General features: G+C 52.6%; 1 long non-coding RNA gene and 1 pseudogene across 3 annotated transcripts in view; both read right to left on the reverse strand.

Annotated features, from left to right (window-relative positions):
- LOC124902160 (uncharacterized) overlaps positions 1 to 19,539 on the reverse strand; it is a 35,296-nt gene extending 15,757 nt beyond the window's left edge. Inside the window, exons 1-3 of one of the 3 annotated variants that reach the window (XR_007061498.1) lie at positions 19,204 to 19,539; positions 18,056 to 18,106; positions 14,550 to 14,632 (exon numbers count right to left, since the gene is read on the reverse strand). This is a non-coding gene — a long non-coding RNA (uncharacterized LOC124902160). Of the gene's footprint in view, positions 1 to 14,549; positions 14,633 to 17,303; positions 17,346 to 18,055; positions 18,107 to 19,203 lie in introns of those variants that run through there. The other 2 variants (XR_007061499.1, XR_007061500.1) reach the window with 2 other exon arrangements.
- Positions 1,991 to 19,514, reverse strand: AQP7P5 (aquaporin 7 pseudogene 5; annotated as a pseudogene).

Consider the following 19,719-nt stretch of genomic DNA (forward strand, 5'->3'; position numbering starts at 1 on the left):
GTTCCCCTGTGGATGGACATTTGGGTTGTGTCCAGTGTCTCTTGACCACCTACCTTGTGCCATGCCCCCGACCCTCCTGCCATTACTCCACAATCTAGCTACATCCACAAAGCCATGACTTCACAAAACCCTGTCTTCCACTTCTGAGCTCCAGACCATATAAAAGGCATAATGGTGTTTATTGAGCACTTACTCTGAGCTAGAAACGATTCTCAACATTTTACATGTGGTAGCGCATTTAATATTCACAGCAACACAAATGGGAAGTAATATTCTTATCACCGTTTTACAAATGAGAAGACCAAGGCCCAGAAGAGTTGAATATCTTGCTCAAGATCACACACCTTTTGCCACCCCCCATTCCAAGTCCCATAGGCAACTCAGACTCAGCACATCCATGATGTAACTTATCATCTTCCTCTCCAAACAATTTCCTCACTTGTGCCCTACTCTCAGTGGGGACATCTCCAATCCCCAGGCCCAAGCTGGAAACCGGAAGCCATTTCTGACTCCTCCCTCACCCACTCCATCCAAATGGAGCCCAAGTCCTGTACATTGTACTTCTCGGGTATTGATCAATCCCGGCCCTTGTCTCCATGCCCACGGTGCTGACCCATTGTTAGGTGCCCGGCTGCTGCTCCTGGGTCATCACTTCCCAGCACTCTCTTCGCAGGCCCATCTCCACCATTTCCAGCATCCTACACACTGCGGCTCAGGTGTGCTTTCTAAACCTCACCTCACCATGTCCCCACCTCCAGAATGAAGCCCAGCCTCCTCTGCCCATCCCCTCAAACTGTAAAGTGCAGATCCCAGCCCCAAAAAGGACACCCCCCACCACAATACCCTGCTCTGTCTCCTCCTCTGGGAAGCCTCCTGGCCTTGGCCCAGAGGCTGGATGTGAGCTCCCCCACCCCAAGCCCCACAGCCTCCAAGCCTCCCACTCTGCACTCACCTTCTTCCTTATAATTACCTGTCACCCATTAAACTGCAACCCTCAAAGGCAGAGCCCAGTGCATCCACTGCGCATCCCCAGTGTCCAGGCAGGGCCTGCACACAGTAGGTGCTCAATAATTGTTGAAAGGCAAAATACATGAGCAATGACAGGAACCATGGGTGATACTGCCTTCTGAGCCCCAGGCAACAGAGTGATTCCTGCCTGGCCCCAGGGTCAGTGGATCCTGGCCCCTCACCCCACCCAACCTCTGCAGCTGCTTCCCTGGAGCCCTTGGAGCCCTAAGAGGCCTCTTCCTGTGTCTTCATGTGTTCGAAGGATTTCCCTCTTTGCATCTTCCTTTCCTATTCCTTCATGTGGGAGCACTCTGGCACCAGGAAGAAGAAAGAGGAGCCCAACCCCTTACCAGCCTTCAATCTATAACAAGCATTCTCAAGGGAATTAAAACTGATTCTTAAAAGGGGAGGTGAAAAAAAATCTTACTCTTTTTTACGTATAAAGCACAGAACATATACAGAACATAAACAGATGTATAGTATATCTGTGGTATTAAAATTTCATGTGATTAAGAAAAAAAATCTGGAAGAATACTAGGGAAGGCACTAATGAAAAAAAGGCTAAAAAATTCTGATCTACCTTCTTGGGCCATGCCTTGTCTGGTCCAAGAACCGGCCAGAACTCGGGGAAGGGAACAACCAGGGGAGAGTCTAGAGTCCAGTCTCAGGATCCCCTCAAAGTATTTCCAAAGCCAGCCCCCCACCAGTCAGCTACAGTCCTTTCACCAAAACTGCCCTTCCTTCCCCCTTGCCTGAAAATCCCTCATTCTGTTTCTGTCATTCTTTCATCTTACCTTGTTCCTACTGAGGGCGCAGGTCAGCTCTTCCCCATTCTCCCCCTGGGGCACCCCAGTTCCCAGGGCATGAAAGACTTGAGGTGCCTCACCTCTACACCTTGGGCTAAGACATAGCCCTAGAGCTCCTGGAAGAACCCAGGAGGGAAGCCCAACCACAGGAGGCCCCCAGGAAGTGGGGGTACTGCTGTGGGACAAGCTTCTCTTTATTGGGGAAGGGATGGGATCACAAATAATCTCTGCTTAGAAGTGCTCTAGGGCCATGGATTCATGTAAGGGTGGGGCAGGGTGGACTGAAGATCTGTTGGCAGGGCTCACGGAGATGAGGGTAAGGGGAGAGATCATGGGTTCATGAGATCCCATCTTGGGCAATACGGTTATCCCGTGGTCTTCATATGCCACAGAGTCCTCCAATTTCAGGGGCTCCCGTGGGATGGTGGAGCCAATGAAGACCAGGTAGATGATGCCACCTAGAGAGGCACCCAGAAGTGGTGCCACCACTGGCACCCACCACAAGTTCTCCCCATCGCTGCAGGCAAGAGGCAGAGGCCGGCTGAGGGGGCTGATGCCCAGGACAGCACCCTCATCCACCTCGGGCCAAGACTGGTTGAGCAGAGGAGTCATCCTCAGGCTAACCCAGGAAACACCCCCAACCCGGGGCCCTGGTCAGCCTCAGCCCGATTCAGGGACAGGGTTGACACTCAGTGCAGGTGCAGGATCTGTATCTGTACTGGCCTGGGGAAATGTTGGGACTCACTCCTGCTCCCCAGGCCACCTGGGGGCTCTGCAGGACCCTCCTGTGCTGCCCCTCACATCACCCCCCACACCTCAACACACAGGGGCCCCACAGAAAATCTCAAAGGAATGGGCCTGGGCAGGGGCAGTACCTGAAGACCAGTTTGCCCCAACCAGCAATGAAGGTGAAGATGCGGGGGGGCAGGTCCCGGGACGGATTGATGGCATATCCTGTGTTCATGCCATGGTACACCCTGATGATGACCACGAGGATGCCTATCACCAGTGCGTGTGTTCCTGGCAGTGCTGGGTTGTTCTCCTGGTCCGTGATGGCGAAGAGACACAGCTGGAGCATCCCGGTCAGCCACTCCTGAGGAGCAGATGCTGTGGAAGCTCACCTGGGCCCCTCCCCAAGCCACAGGACCTCGGCAGTGCCCCAGACCCAAGCCCACCAGCAGAGACACATCTTGGTACAGTCTCCATCCAGAGTTCTTGTCCTGTCTATCCGGAGGGACTCCCTGCTGGCTCCGTCCTGAGGGGTGGAGGGCAGGGGGAGGGGTACTCATCCTGGACCACTGACCTCATTCAGGAAGCCCCGCCACAATGTCATGTGATCAGGAAGGTAGGTGGCAAAAATGCCAGCTGTAGCAACGGGACCGGTCACCATCAGCTCTCCACCCGAAAAGTGGAGAATGGCCGCTGTGGAGACACAGACTATCATGCGAACCTGTCCCCAACTAAGCCCCACCAGGGTCCCGGAAATTAGGTTATAGGTTAGAGGGTGGGAGACCTCCAAGGCTTTTTTCTCCCAGCTATTTTTTACAAATCAGGACACTGAGGTCCAATCTGCCCATATTTCATAGGAGGCAGCTGAGGCCAGAGGCGGACACCCGGGCAGGACGCTCACTGTAGAAGAGACTGTAGATGGTGGCAGCTGCCAGGAAGGAGCCCAGGAACTGCCCCAGCACATATACTGGAAACTTCCTCCAGGGCACACGGCCCAGTGCACAGTTAGTGAGGCTCACAGCTGCGTTCATGTGGGCTCCTGCGGGCAGCAGGCAAGTGTGTCAGGGAGTGAGAGCAGAACAAACAACAGTGACAAACAGTATGAGAACAACGATGGCTAGTGTGTATGACAGCATGCTCCGTGACAGAGTTCTCTCCTTGAGCCCTCACAACCACCCCGTGAGGCAGGGGCCACCGTCTTCCTTTCACTCTTAAGGAAACTGAGGAACACAGAGGCGATGGCTTGCCTAAGATGACCCAGCCAGTGAAAATGGTAGGTCGGGGGGGCCAGGAAGAATCTGGGGCAGACACGTCATAGGCACGGGGTTCAGAGGAGACTTCCTCCCGCCCGGTGGCCAGGCTGAGGCACTGGCTGTGCTGGCAAAGGAGCTGGCTGAGGCGGGCAGGAAAGAGCCTGTTGGGGACACCTGGTCTTGCCCGGTCCGGCAGGGCCTGGGCTCACTCACCAGAGGTGCGGCCTGCCATGTGCACTCCCATGGTGACTCCGAAGCCAAAACCCAAGTTGACACCAAGGTAGCTCCCAAATGTTTTATTTAGAAGCATATGGGCCACGGAACCAAGGCCGAATACCTACAAGGGAGGGCCTCTAAGGGGGCTGCCTGCCCAGAAGCCCCAACCTCAGAGGAGGGCTCAGAGCTCAGTTCTAGCTCCTCACCCCCATGCCCTGGGCCTCCCTGGCGTTGCCTCGAAGACCCTCTGCCATGCCCTCTTCCTCCAGAGCCTTCCCTCCTCACTGCCTCCTCTCCTTGCCCCTGCTGAGGCCTCTCAGACCTGAGCCACTGAGAGCCGGGTGGAGCAGCAGAGTTAGAAGCTCTTACTACAAACATCCAAGCACCTCAGCCCCAGGCCCACCTGAAGTTTTGGGGTGAGGCAGGGCTGCGAGGAGGGGATGGCTGGCATGCATTGCACCCCCTCAGAGTCCCTCACACTTCAGGCTGACCTGAAGGAAGTTTCTTCAAGGGACCTCCAAATCCATCCATGCCTGACTCTGCCAGGAACCCCTCCCTACACACACACACTCCACCGCAATTCCCACAATGCTGGAACAGTGGGGCCCTAACTGTCTTGCCCTCAGCTTCATTTCCACTGACCTCAGGCGGCATTCCCAAGCTGCTGCTTCTTGCCCATCCCTCACGGCTCCTCAGATAATGCTGCCTTCACAGGGGAAGGGGCCTACCTTCAGGCCCATTACCCTCAGTCTAGAGCCACTGTTCCCTTCAGCCCTGGCTCCTGTGCTATCCTCTCCCTCTGCAGAGGCCTCCGTCTCCCCCATACCTTCCATCCTCCCATTGATCGGTTCCCACACACTGGAGTCTCATCCTTCCCAGCAAACTGTCCCACCCCTGCCCAGTGTCCTTCTCCAGCTGTGGGTTCCTGGTTGCCCCCTCCCTGTTTCAGTCAGGCTGCAGGAGAGAACACACTGGCCAGCTGCTTCACCCCTTCCCTCGCACCCCCTCCTCAATCTGGCTTCCATTTCCACATGTCACAGACACCAAAGCTCTCTCCAAGGGCTCCAGCAACCTCCTGATTTTCCAAAGGTCTTTTCAGGCATGGTTTTACCACGTAGACAGTCTCAGCTATGCCTGATGCGCTGAAATTCCCGTCATCTCCGTGGGGGAGCCAGATGCCTATTTGCAAATCCCCACTGCAACTCTCCTGGTGTTCCACGGACGTCTCAGGCTCTGTTGAAGGTTCGCCATCTCACAGCACACCTGCTCCTCACTCTATGTTCCCCATCCCCGTTGGCCGAGCCAGAAACTCAGATGTTGCAAATGATAGTTAAGCACTATTATTCTCCCCCACTTGACAGATGGGTAATCTGAAGCTTAGAGAACTTGAATGGCTTGTCCAAGGTCACACAGCCTGTACATGGTGAGCCAGGATTAAATCCAGGCAGTTACCTGTGCCAGATGGCCTCAAACCAAACAACTGCGCTGCTCCATGCATGCCTTGCTTTCTTGTGCCTCTGTTTTATTTGTTTGTTTGTTTGATGCTTGAGATAGGGTTTTGCTCTATCACCCAGGCTGGAGTGCAGTGCCATGATCAGGGCTCATTGCAGCCTCCATCTCCTGGGCTCAAGTGATACTCCCACCTCAGCCTCTCAAGTAGTTGGGACTATGGGCATGTGCCTCGACACGCAGCCAATTTTTTTTTTTTTTTTTTTGAGACAGTCTTGCTCTGTCGCCCAAGCCGGAGTGCAATGGCGCAATCTCGGCTCACTGCAACCTCCAACTCCCGGGTTCAAGTGATTCTCCTGCCTTAGCCTCCCGAGTAGTTGAGATTATAGGTGCATGCCACCATGCCCAACTATTTTTTTGTATTTTTAGTAGAGACAGGGTTTCACGATGTTGGCCAGACTGGTCTCAAACACCTGACCTCAGATGATCAGCCTGCCTTGGCCTCCCAAAGTGCTGGGATTACAGGCATGAGCCATTGAGCCCTATCCCAGCTAAGTTTTTCAATTTATTTTGTGTAGAGATGAGGTTTCACTATGTTGACCGGGCTGGTCTCGAGCTCCTGGCCTTAAGCAATCCTCTCACCTCAGCCTCCCAGAGTGCTGGGATTACAGGTGTGAGCCACCATGCCTGGCCAGAATATCCTAATAATTTTACATTGATTGCATCTTGAAATAGGATTTTGGCTATATGGGTTAATTATTAAAATTAATTTCACCTGTTGCTTTTTACCTTTTTAATGTGGATACTAGAAAAAATTAAATTATACAGATGGCTTGTATTGTATTTCCCCTGGAGAACTCTGTTCTAGAGTTGATAAAGGAGAAAACCTGAAGAATTGTAGACATAAGGGCCAAAGTCAAAGCCGACAGAGGAGAAGGCCCCAGGAGAGGGTACAAGGTAAGAAGGCAGACCAGGCTGGGTGCGGTGGCTCATGCCTGTAATCCCAGCACTTTGGAAGGCCGAGGTGGATGGATCACTTTAGGTCAGGAGTTCAAGACCAGCATGACAAAACCCCGTCTCTACTAATAATACAAAAATTAGCCAGGCGTGGTGGTGCTTGCCTGTAATCCCGGCTACTCAGGAGGCTGAGACAGGAGAATTGCTTGAACCCAGGAGGTGGAGCTTGCAGTGATCTGAGATCACACCACTGCACTCCAGACTGGGCGACAGAGCAAGACTCCATCTCAAAAAAAGAAAAAAAAAAGAGTTGAAAGGCACCAGTGTAGACTCCTCTTCGAGAATTCGCCTGAGGAGCGGGGAAGAGAGAACATGATCCCGTGAAGGGGCTGACAGGGTGAAGGGAGGGATGTTTCATTTTGTGTTGTTTTCAGTGGAGAAACTTCAGTATGTTTATAGGCTGAGAGAGGGATGGGCTGAAGATAAAGGACAGAGAAAAAGGACAGAGTAAAGTACCTGAATAGGCTGGACAGCTGGATTGGTGCAGAAGTGGAGGTGTCCTCCAGGAAGGAGAGGACCCCACCCCAGCCAAGGGGTGATATGTGGATAGACGGGTGGTTAATGGGTCTGGTGGTAAGAGGGACAAGAGGGTGAGCTGAACATAGGAAGTGTTGATTATTTTACCTATCAAGCAGCAGATCAAGCCATTTGCTGATTTAAAAAAAAAAAAGAGTACAGAGCAGCTTTGGGGAAGTCTGAGAAAATGTGAAATAGCCCAGATATGGTGGGGGAGAGGCAGCTGAGCAGGGCCCACTGGGTCCCTCAGAAGCCCCAGGACAGGAGCAGGGGAGCCCAGAGCTAGGCTGGCTTCAGATCCAGGATAAGATACAACAGGAGAGGACAGGAACAGATGGGGGTGCAGGGGGGAGTGAGGTCAGGACAGGTTGACAGGCTGGCAGGGTCAAGAGGTAGAGGGACTGGAGGAGGCATGGAGGGTCTGAAAACAGAGGGGCCCCCATGGCCTTTCCCGCATTCCAATACCATGTGCTAAAAATACTGGATGAGCATAGGCCAGGTGTGGTGGCTCACGCCTGTAATCCCAGCACTTTGGGAGACCGAGGCAGGCCGATCATGAGGTCAGGAGTTTGAGACCTGCTTAGCCAACATGGTGAAACCCCGTCTCTACTAAAGATACAAAAAATTAGCCAGGTGTGGTGACACATGCCTGTAATCCCAGCTACTCGGCAGGCTGAGGCAGGAGAATCACTTGAACCCGGGAGGCAGAGCAGTGAGCTGAGATCACACCACTGCACTCCAGCCTGGGCAACAGGGTGAGACTCTGTCTCAAAAAAATAAAATAAATAAAATAAAATACTGGGTGAGTGAATGAACCCCACATGATTCCTTGTGTCAGGGTTGCCAACTGGCAACTCATGCACCTAATTCATCCAGCGCACAGATTTTGTTTAGATAACTTGGTTTTGAAGAACAGAAGTTTCCATCTCTCTTGAAAAATGAGCAGCTCAAGCAACACTGGCCTGCATTCCACCCTCCATGGCAACAGTCAGCTGGAGTGGCAGCAGCTCTACAGCCTTGCACAGATTGGCACTCTGCAGCCAGCCAAAGTCCCCACCGCCCTGAGTTGCCGCTCTCTTGGCCCCCGTAGCATGTGATCTACAACCCTTGCCCCGTGTCTCATGTGTATGGCTGGTTTTCCAGGGCCCGGATGGCTCCAGCCCCTCCTCTCCCTGATCAGTGAATGTGGCCCAGCCCATCCAACTCTCCCCCACAGCCAGGAGGCCAGCTCCAAGGGCAACACACCTGGAAGCTGCAACACGGATCAGTCCACTTCCCTTGTCCTGGCTGCAATAAATGGGGCCAAGGTCACACTAGCTTTTTTGGCAAAACTTCACCCTGGTGACTCACTGAGATTCCTATATATATATTTACAAAAAAAAAAAAAAAACCCTCACTTCTTGGCACAGCCTGGCAACTAAAAATAACAACACCACAATATCCGATATAGGCTTACGCCTCACAAAGTTCTTTTACAAGTGCTACTGTCTTCAATCCTCACAACAAATCTGCACAGCAAGAATTTTTCTCCCACTCTATAAATGGGGAAACTGAGGCCGAGAGAGGCATCTTGAACTACCTGAAAGTGAGGACTTTACCCTGGCTGGGGGAGCATTAACAAGCCAGTCTTTAAAAGCTGGCAATATTTAAGCTAAGGTACAGAGCATAGAGGTTAAGGGTCAAGACTGTGATATTGAGCTGGGCACGGTGACTCATGCCTGTAATCCCAGCACTTTGGGAGGCCGAGGTGGGAGGATCACTTGAAGTCAGGAGTTCAAGACCAGCCTTGACAACATGGTGAAACCTTGTCTTTCCTAAAAATACAAAAATTGGCTGGGCATGGTGGCATGCACCTGTAATTCCAGCTACTCCAGAGGCTGAGATGCAAGAATCGCTTGAACCCAGGAGGTAGAGGTTGCAGTGAGCCGAGATTGCACCACTGTGACAAAGCAAGACTGTATCTCAAAAAAACAAAAACAAAAACAAAAAAGACTGTGATATTAGACTGCACTGGATTTAATCTTGACTTAAAGTGTGACCTTGGGCAAAAGGCTTAGTCTCAAGGAGCCTCAGTTTTCCCATCTGTGAAACTGGGATAATAATAGTACCTACTTCACAGGGCTATTGCGAGGATTTGGGAAGATGCTGCACGTAAGGGGCTTAGCATCACAGAGCCCAGGATGCATTAGGTGCTCAATGAAAATCTCAACAAAAGGAAGAGGAACACAGATGTGGGCAGGTATCAAGCATGTGGGCGGTGCCTATTTCCCTAACAGCTCTCAGAGGATGCACCCTCCTGCCTCCGAGGCTCCAAGGGTTAACAGCCCTCATGGGGCTGGAATGTCTTGTGGTAAGTGAATTACTTTGCCCTGGATTAAGGAGGGACAGGATCCAACTGCTGTCCTCACAGCTCAGGAGCCAAAGCAGGTGGGGAGGTAAGAGAGGAGTAGGGGAGGGCCAGAGACAGAGAGGAGACAGCAGCTAGAGCACCCGTCCTAATAACAAGGGACCAATACATGGGTACCACACTGGGTGCTGAGACTTGGCCTTCTTCACACAAGTCCTCCTGTTAACCAATAAGGAAGCTAAAGTTGTGGGCCGGGAGAGGTGACTCACGCCAGCAATCCCAGCACTTTGGGAGGCCGAGGCAGGAAGGTCACCTGAATTCGGGAGTTCGAGACCAGTCTGGCCAACATGGTGAAACCCCATCTCTACTAAAAATAGAAAAATTAGCTGAGCACAGTGGCACATGCCTGTAGTCCCAGCTACTCAAGAGGCTGAGGAAAGAGAGTCACTTGAGTATGGGAGGTGGGGGCTGCAGTGAGCTGAGATCGTACCACTGCACTCCATCCTAGGAGACAGAGTGAGACCCTGTCTCAAAAACAAGAAAGCTAAATTTGTGAACAGTTAAGATACTTGTGGATAGTCGCACAGCTAGAAGATAACAGAGCTAGGATTCAAACACAGCTCCAAAGCCCACGAAGGCCTAATTCTACACGATATAAGTGAGAAGTCAGGCTTTAAGCCAGGGAGAGACCTGCCCAAGGCAACTGGTCACTCAGTGGCAGGGTCAGGCTAAGAAACCTGGTGTTCCAATTCCCTCTCTCCCTTGAGCTCCATGGGCTCCACCACACACACGAACAGCCTCTCTCACCCCACCTTCCTCTAGCATGCACCTGGCTGCCTTTGCCTCCCTTCCCAGAGGCTGCCCCTTCTTTCTCTAGACCCTGGACCCTGCATAAGATGCAATAAACATGGCTACAGTCATGTTAAGGGCAGAGGCTCACTGGGGTAAGTGGCAGGGCTGAAGCAGGTGGAGAGGGAGCAACCTCACATCCCACCTGCAGTCTGGATTCTGTCCCAATCACACACTAAAGAAGAGCCCTTGTCAAGGTTACCAGCAACCTCCACATTGGCAAACCCTAAGGCCCCTTGCCAGTGCTCACCTTGCGTGGCCCATCTGCCGCTGCCCATGCCGCTGACGGCTTCTTCCTGGTGGAACCACTGCCCCCCTCTGTCATGCAGTCGGCTCTGGTTCTCCTCCCACCTCTCTGACCATTCCTTCTCAGGCTCCTTTGCGTGCCCCTCTTCATTCCTCAGGGCTCTGTCCTCAAACCATCCTTTTCTCTTTCTGTACACTCCTTCTAGACAGTGTTGACAACCACCACCTGTGTTGTGATGAACTTCAACTTTTTCCTTCCAGACCAAGCCTCTCCTGAGCTCCAGCCCCTCGCCTGTGTTTAACTATCTCCTGGATTTCCCTACAGGCATCTTGCCTCTCACCCTGTGCTGGGCCCCGTGCTCCAGAACAGCTCATCGGCGCTTTGCCCACATGTTCTGCTGGCAGAGTCTCCCCGATTCCATCTTCCACAGCCCTCTCAAACATGTGCTTTCTTCTCCAACCCCAGATCAGTCATCACCCTCTCTCTGTCCCAGATCAAAAACAGCCTCTTAACTGGTTCCTTCTTGCCAGCCTTGCCTGTCCTGCTTATGCTCCACACTGCACCCAAAATTACCTTTAAAATCCAAATCTGATCATGTCACTCCCCTGCTTGCCAGCCTTCAACATCGCCCATTGCCCTCTGGATTCATTATCAGAGCCTGATCATCAAGTTTCTCTTCAATCTCTCTCTCTTTTTTCTTTTTTTTTTTTTTTTTTTTTGAGACAGAGTTTTGCTCCTGTCACCCAGGCTGAGTGCAATGGTGTGATCTCAGCTCACTGCAACCTCCACCTCCTGGGCTCAAGCGATTCTCCTGCCTCAGCCTCCTGAATAACTGAGATTACAGGTGTCCGCCACCATGCCCAGCTAATTTTTGTATTTTTAGTAGAGACGGGGTTTCACCATGTTGGCCAGGCTGGTTTCGAACTCCTGACCTCAGGTGATCCACTTGCCTAAGCCTCCCAAAGTGCTGGAATTACAGGCATGAGCCACTGCACCTGGGCCTCTTCAATCTCTTTACTCTGGGTTTCCCTTCTCCCCATTTCCAGCCTTGCCCCGGATACCCCAGTGCATGGTTTCATTTGACCCCCACATATTATGAGCCCTTTCTGTCCAAAAAGACTTGATGAGAAAGCCCCCCCGCCTTACTTTCCTCGCTGCTTCCCCAGGCTCCCAGCTCAGAGGCAAGGAATGGACAATGTGACCCATGGGGTCAGAATGGGGAGGGGGTCATGGAAGGCCCTGGCAGAGCCCACCCACTTCGTGCTGCCCGCCCACTCACCATCATGACATATGTGCTCATGAACTTGGCCACGAACTCTCGCGCCATCTTCCTCTCATCTTCCTCGCATCATATTTCCTGGATCTTTGCTATCACGGACCAGGAGACCATTTTGGAGCCACGGGTGGACCTGATACAGTGGCCCGAGCTCATGGACAGAAAGGAGACTCAAGTCTGCCTGCTGCCCATCGGCTCTTCAACTCACAGCTGAGTTAATAGGTAACCCAGCAGACTTGCCACACACACCTCCTCTTGCCCGGGGCAGCTGGGACAGCTGGAATTGGAGACACTTGCGAGCCATGGGGACATGGAGAGGAACTGGGGTAGATGGCCAAGCCATGCCCCTTGTAGTTGGGACTGGACCAGTAAAAATGGCACACCAATGAGGCCACTTTGCAGACGGGCAGGTGGGGAGCTGAAAGTGCAATCCACGGTGCCAACAAGCCTCTGGGAAAAAGTAGGGTGGGAGAGAGCAGGCTGGAAAGTAGAGCTCAGTAGTCTATGTCTGTCCATCTGTCTGTCTGCCTATCTGCTAGAGCCAGAACTTTGGGGTCACAGGCCAGGGCCTGGCAACAGTGAGGCACTCTACAAACAGCATGAAGTGTGACAAAGTCTGCTGCCGAGCTCTGTAAACAGCACTGAGCACTGAAACATGCGCCAGGTTCTGTCAAAAATGAAGGGGTCAGCAAAATGCACCAGGCTGTGCAACCAGGTCATTGCAAACAGAGGTTTGTGAGAGAGTGAGTGAATGAATGAATGAATGACCAAGAGAGCGGGAGGGAGAAAAGGAAGGACTGGATCTACTTCCTGGTGTATCTTCAGTGCCCAGCACCATGCCAGGCACATAGTAGATGTGCAATAAGTATTTGTTGAATGGGTGAAAACTGGGGAATCTGTCTTACTCCCAACTAGATCCTCAGAGCTTGCCAAAGGGCCTGGCACTTGATTTATATTTAGTTAATTGCACGGTTAGATGGAAAGGTAGATGAAACAGGTGAGTAACAGGTTCCAAATCTGCGTATAGGGAGAGGTATAGGACTGGAGTTTGGGGAAGGTGGCGGGGTGGGACTGGAGGATAAAGAGGAAGAAGAGGGGCTGGGCCCGGTAGCTCACGCCTATAATCCCAGCACTTTGGGAGGCCAAGGTGGGCAGATCACCTGAGGTCGGGAGTTCGAGACCAGCCTGACCAACATAGAGAAACCCTATCTCTACTAAAAAATACAAAATTAGCCAGGCATGGTGGCGCATGCCTGTAATCCCAGCTACTTCGGAGGCTGAGGCAGGAGAATCACTTGAACATGGGAGATGGAGGTTGTGGTGAGCCGAGATCTTGCCACTGCACTCCAGCCTGGGCAACAAGTGCGAGACTCCATCTCAAAAAAAAAAAAAAAAAAAAAAAGAGGAAGAAGAGGGATACAGATACCTCTAAGTGTGGCCTTAGTCACTCTGCTATCTCACTGTCTGCATGCCCGGAAGCTGACACCAGCCCCTCAACTCCTCTGGCCAGCCCATCCTTGCATATCATGTACTGCCTTAGCTGCAGGCCTTTGCACATGCCAGTCCTACACCGAGAATGGTCCCCTGCCTCCCCAGAGGCTCCTTTACCCGCCAGCCTTCTTTTCTTGACCTAAATTTCCCTTTCTCTGGGAGAGCCTCCTACCCTCTCCTCTAGGCCATTCACTTCTTCCACATGCCCCACGGTGCCCACTCTTTCAGCTGGGGCAATGCTCATCACACTGCATAGTAATTGCTCAGTTAGGCCAGGCACAGTGTCTCACGCCTGTAATCCCAGCACTTGCTGAGGCGAGCTGATCGCTTGAGCCCAGGAGTTCAAGACCAGCCTGGGCAGTATGACAAAACCTCATCTCTACAAAAAAAAAAAAATACAAAAATTAGTCAGGTGTTGTGGTGTACGCCTGTGGTCCCAGCTAATGGGGAGGCTGATGTGAGAGGATTGCCTGAGCCCAGAAGGCAGAGGTTGCAGTGAGCTGAGATAACACCACTGCACTCCAGCGTGGGTGACAGAGCGACACCCTGTCTCAAAAAAGAAAAAAAAAAAAAGCTTAATTAATTAACGGTTTTTCTTCCTAAGGGCTGGGATCATACCAGTTTGCTTCACTGCAGTGCCTGAACATAGTAGGCATAGTAGATTCAATAAATCTTTGGTTCCTTGGCTGGTTGTTGCCTGCTCTGTGCTGATGAGAAAGGAGCCAGGCTTCCAGGATTCCCTTGGTGTTCTTGGCTCCCTGCTCTGTCTAACTCTCCCCTGCCTCTATGGTACCTTCCCAGGACTGTCTTTGGGCTGCTGCTTGCATTGGTAGGGTCTCTTCTTCAGGGCTGAGGAGGCTGGTCATGGGATAATGAGACCCCTATACGATGCTGCATGGGAGCTGGAGTTGGATGGGGGCCAGTGGAATATCCGCGCAACTCTGCATCCCCCTCCATCTACTCATCCCTGGTTTTGTTTCTCTGGAGTAAGGAATAGAGCAAGGACTGGGATGGGTGAGCTATGAACAGAGGGTCTCAGCTGAAAAGTGGAAGATGTTTTATTCCATGCCTGGACGTCTCTCATTCCCTCTGCTTACTTTTTGCTGCTGTGAGGTCAGGGGAATTTAGGAGCCCTGAGGAATGCTGCTGCTCTCCCTAGCAGGGCGAGGTGACCCTCCACTGGCTCCCATCCAACCCCACCTCCCATGCTGGAGGTAACCACAGAAGAGGAGAGAGAAGTGGACAGAGCGGAAAGACAAGAACACCAAGAGAATCCTGGAAGCCTGGCTCCTTCCTCATCACCACACAGCAGGCAAGACACAGTAAGCAACAGATAACCACCAACCAGCCAATGAACTCAAGATTTCTTGAATCTACTGTGCCTAGAATGTTCAGTCACTGCAGTAAAGGACACTGGTACAATCCAGCCTGTGGGAAGAAAAGCAATCAATTGAGCAACTACTATGCAGTGTGATGAGCATTGCCCCAGCTGAAAGAGTGGGCACTGTGGGGCATGTGGAGGAAGTGAATGGCCTAGAGGAGGGGGTAGAAGGCTCCCAGAGAAAGGGAAATTCAGGTCAAGAAAAGAAGGCTGGAGGGTAAAGGAGCCTCCAGGGAGGCAGGGATCACTCTGGGCGTAGGACTGGCATGTGCAAAGGCCTGCAGCTAAGGCAGTATCCAATGTGCAGGAATGGGCTGGCCACGGAGGAGTGGAGGTGGCATGAGATGGGCAGAGAGGGGCCAGGGCCAGGTGGCAGAAGGCCTCATGGCCCACATTAGGGAGTCTGAACTCTACCAGAGGGCCATGGGCCAAGTGGAGGGTTTCAGCAGGAGAGCTGCCTCCCCTGTGGAGGCCAGGATGGAGGAAGTGGAGTGGAGGCAGGGTGAGCATCAGCTTCTCCACAGATGGGTGGAGAAGTGGTGGCAGCCTGAGCCACAAGGATGGCAGTGCCAATGGCCACAAGAGCACAGTCAAGCTGACAGGCTTGGTGTTCAGTTAGAGAGGGAAGGGAGCGGGGCAGCTCAGCGATGCCCTCAGGTCCTGGCTAGGGCAGCAGAATGACTAGCGTGGGGCACAGCAGAGAAGCTGTGGAAGAATGGACAAGGAGGCCCTTTCTGGACATGTTGAGTGTGAGGAGCCCGCTAGACACTTGGGTGGGATGGCCAGTGAGGAGGCAGCTGGTCATGTGGTCTCACTTACAGACACATTTGGAGGACAGCAAATCACAGATGGTCATCTGAGCCATGGGCATAGATGAGAGAGCTCAAGGAGAGGGTACAGACTAAGAGGGGCCCAAGAAAGCCAGCCTACAAAGCAAGAAACTGACAGCCAACCAGATCCCCTAAGTAATCTGTTAACCAAGGAACTAAATAGCTAACAACTCACTAACGCCTGTTTCTTTTCTTTTTCTTTTTCTTTTTTTTTTTGAGACAGGGTCTCACTCTGTCACCCAGGCTGAAGTGCAGTGGCACAGTCACAGCTCACTGAAGCCTAGACTTCCCAGGGTTCAAGTGATCCTCCCACCTCAGCCTCCCAAGTAGTTGGGACTACAGGAGCATGCCACCATGACCGGCTATTTTTTCCTATTTTTTGTAGAGATGGGGTTTTGCCATGTTACCAAAGCTGGTCCCAAACTCCTGGACTCAAGCAATCCTCCAGCCTCAGCCTCCCAAGGTGCAGGGATTTCAGGCATGAGCCAACATGCCCGGTGGCTTATTAACCCTTTGACTAACCTATCAAAAACCAACTAACTGATTCTCCTGTTAACCAGCTATTAACTCATTGAATTATCTAATCAACCAGTCAACCATAAACTATCCAACTAACCACGAGCCAACAATTCAACCTGCTAACCAACATTTCTTCATTCAACAAACATTTGTTGGCCAGGCATGGTGACTCATGCCTGTAATCCCAACACTTCAGGAGGCCGAGGCAGGTGGATCACTTGAGGTCAGGAGTTCAAGACCAGCCTGGCCAACATGGCAGAACCCCATTTCCACTAAAAATAAAAAAAAAATTAGCTGGGCGTGGTGGCAGGCACCTGTAATCCCAGCTGGGGTGGGGGCTGAGATGTGAGAATCGCTTGAGCCCAAGAAGCAGAAGTTGCAGTGAGCCGAGATCATGCCACTGCACTCCAGCATGGGCAACAGAACAAGACTCCATCTCAAAAAAAGAAAAAATTTTTGTTGAGCACCTACTTATGAGTCAAGCACCAGGGATACAAAGTCAAAACCCACTCTCCACTCTTGGGTCACTCTGTTTAATAGAAGAGATGGGTAATGGCAACACCACCAGAGAGAAGCAGCCTGGGACTGGGGGAACTCAGGGGAGGCATGGGAGGTGAGGCCTGAAGGGAGTTTTGAAGAATGGGCGGGTGGTGGCCTGACATGGCCATGGGGGAGTAGGGTGGTGGTAGAAAGAATGGTGGAAGCTGTGCACATTCTAGATATTTTAGGAGATTGGTGACTGGATGTGAGGCATGGGGAAGAGGGAAGTATCAAGGACATGACCTTGACTTCTGGCTTGAGCAACTGAAGAGAAGGGGACCCCTGACTGAGCCAAGAGCACAGGAGGAGTGGACTTGTGGGGGGCGGAGGAGGCTGTTTCCATCTAGGAGCTGAGTTGCCTGTGAGACACCAGTGGGTCTCTAGAAACAGGATCTAAAGCCCTGGAAAGAGACGTAGGCTAGAGGCAATGATGTCAACAGAGGGGCACTATTCATTCTCTCCGTGCAAGTGTACAACAGGCAAATATCCCTGCTTGCGTGGAGCTGACAGCAATGAAATGTAATAAGTAAGTACATTTGTATAAGCGAAGGTACCAGCTCCTATGGGAAAAAACAGAGCAAGGAGAGGGGAATTGGGAGTGCAGGGGCTGGAGATGGGGTGTGATTTCAAATAGGGCAGTCAGAGTAATCCTTGTTGAGAAGGTGGCCTTGGAGCAAAGCCATGAAGGAGATGAGAGTGGGCTGTATGTTAACTGCAGAAAGCCTCTCAGATGGAGGGAATAGTCACCAGAGGACTCTCAGCATGTTTGAAGAAAGCAAAGAAAGTCAGTGTGAGGCCAGGTGCAGTGGCTCACACCTGTAATCCCAACCTTTTGGGAGGCCGAGGCGGGTGGATCACCTGAGGTCAGGAGTTCAAGAACAGCCTGGCGAACATGGCGAAACCCCATTTCTACTAAAAATACAAAAAAAAAAAAAAAAAAAAAAACAAAAAAAAAACAACTAATTAGCTGGGCATGGTAGTGTGTGCCTGTAATCCTGTAATCCCAGCTACTCAGGAGGCTGAGGCAAGAGAATCGCTTGAACCCGGGAGAAGGAGGTTGCAGTGAACCAAGATCTTGCCATTGCACTCCAGCCTGGGCAACAGAACTGGATTCCATCTCAAAAAAAAAAAAAAAAAAAAAAAGAAAAAAAAAACCAGAAAAGAAACTCAGTGTGGCTGGAGGAGGGAGAGCAGGGGGCTGGAGTGGGGAGGCCAGAAAGCTAACAAGGACTACATAGGCAGGGCCTTGGCCATTGCAAGGACTGGCTCTTTTTCACCCCAAAGACAGCTGAGCCTGAGAGGGTGAGAGGTGCTGAGTGCAGTTGAGTTGAAGGCCACCTGCATGCCTTGACCCTCATCCAAGTATTTCTGAGCCTCCCCTCACCCCAGGACCCAGCCCAGGCAACAGGTGGAAGATGCTTTTCTTCTGGGACCTCAGAGGCGAGTGGGTGGGTGGGGAGGAGGAGGTCGAGGGGGGACAGCTGCCCCAAGGGAGAGGCTGAGGATGGAGCAGGGAGGGCACTGAAGTGGGCTGGGTGGAGGACAGGGGGCTGGAGGGTGAGAAGAGGGTGGGGTACTTACCGCCTGTGCCCAGATGCTTGAACCATGTTTTGTCCTTCAGATTTGTAGATGCTGAAGAGCCAAAGAGAGGTCACTAGGGCTGGAGGACACAGAACTTGGCCCCACACTTCCATCAGACCTTTGTCCCCAGGGGAGAAGCCCTGGGGCAGCTCCTGCTAGTGCCACTCCCTTAACCCAGCCAAGGAACAGGGAGGGAGGAGCGGTGCTCAGCCAATGAGGCGACGCCCTGGAGCCCCACCCCACCCATGCTGGCCCCAGGACCCCAACCCCAGGCCAGACCCTCCAGTGCTCCTGCTGACCTTCCCTGTCTGCAGCCCAGCTTTGGACTGTGGAGATGCCCTCAGCCTCTACTCAGTGGCTCCAGCCTCATATTTGCGTGCTATACCTTTAACCTCAAGTTCTCTTGCTGCTAACTTAAGCTGTGACTGTCCAGGACCTGCACACACACATATATGCACGCATGCACACACACACACACACACACACACGCAGAAGGTGAACACACAGGATGAGGCCCTGAAAACTCATTTCACCCGTGTACCTCACCCAAAAATTCCCCTTTGTACTCCTATCTTTATCTCTAACAGACAGCATGAAGGTAGCCCGAAGTCCCCTCACCCTGTCTGTCCTCCTGATTCTCTAGCCCAGTTCCCTCTAGCTCCAGCACAGACTCTTATCTCCAGCCCTGACTGCTGAAACCCTCCAGCCCCAGCTCCAGCCCCTCAGGAGGGGACTGCGTGGGAGGAATGACTCCAGCAAGCCGGCAGCTGACCCGTCTCTGGCCTGCATGCCTCCCCCTGTGGTCCACTGCCGGTGGTCTTCAGCTCTCTCCTCGTCCCACCCCCATGGTCTGCTGACAGCCCAGCCCAGTGCATCCCTGCCATCTCTGCTCTACCGCTGGTCCTCCCAACAACCAACTTACAGGTAAGGAAACTGAGGCCCAGAGAGAAGGTGTATGTGCCTGTGTCACACAGCAACACAGGACTGCACCATAACAAGAAAGCCGGGACTTCCACTCCCAGCCGGGGCTCCTTCCCCAAACAATCCCTCAGTCACCTCCTCGCTGTATGGTACCCAGGGAATGACCCTTCCAGATCTGGGCACTGAGGAGGCTGCCCCATCCCCACCCTGCCTGGAGCCCCACTCACTCTGCTGAAATGTCTTCTGATTCTCAGCCTCTGCCTTGGGGGCTTCTCAGTTAAAGCGCATCTTGATCTTGTTCCTCTGTGACTGTCTCTGGCTCAGCTTCCACCCCCAGCTGGGGCTCAGCTATCCCTGTGTCCCCAGTCCAGAGCCTGCCTCTCAGCCCTCCCAAGGCGGCCTTGAGCGCTGCTCCTGCTCCTCCAGGGGAGAGGTCAGTAAGGCAGGGATTTGGCTGGTGCCACTTGAACCAAGTCCAGATGCACTGCCCAAAATAACATCCCTCGTCTGGCCAGCAGTGCAGTGGAGACTGAGTTCTGAAGCAGGCCTTTGTGAGGTCAGAGGTGGAGTTCTGGGTGGGCACTCTGGGCCTCACAGTCCCAGAGGAAAGGCCTGTCCTCCAAGCCAATGTGCAGCCTGACTCTGGGGCCAGCGCCTGAGGAAGCCCTCCCTGAGCCCCAGCCCTGGGGAAGGCTGAAGAGGCCTCTGAGCTCCCAGCGCTGGGGAGCGCTGTGCAGAATAGG

The sequence above is a fragment of the Homo sapiens genome, chromosome 9 (assembly GCF_000001405.40).
Source record: "Homo sapiens chromosome 9, GRCh38.p14 Primary Assembly".
NCBI classification, from domain to species: Eukaryota; Metazoa; Chordata; class Mammalia; order Primates; family Hominidae; genus Homo; species Homo sapiens.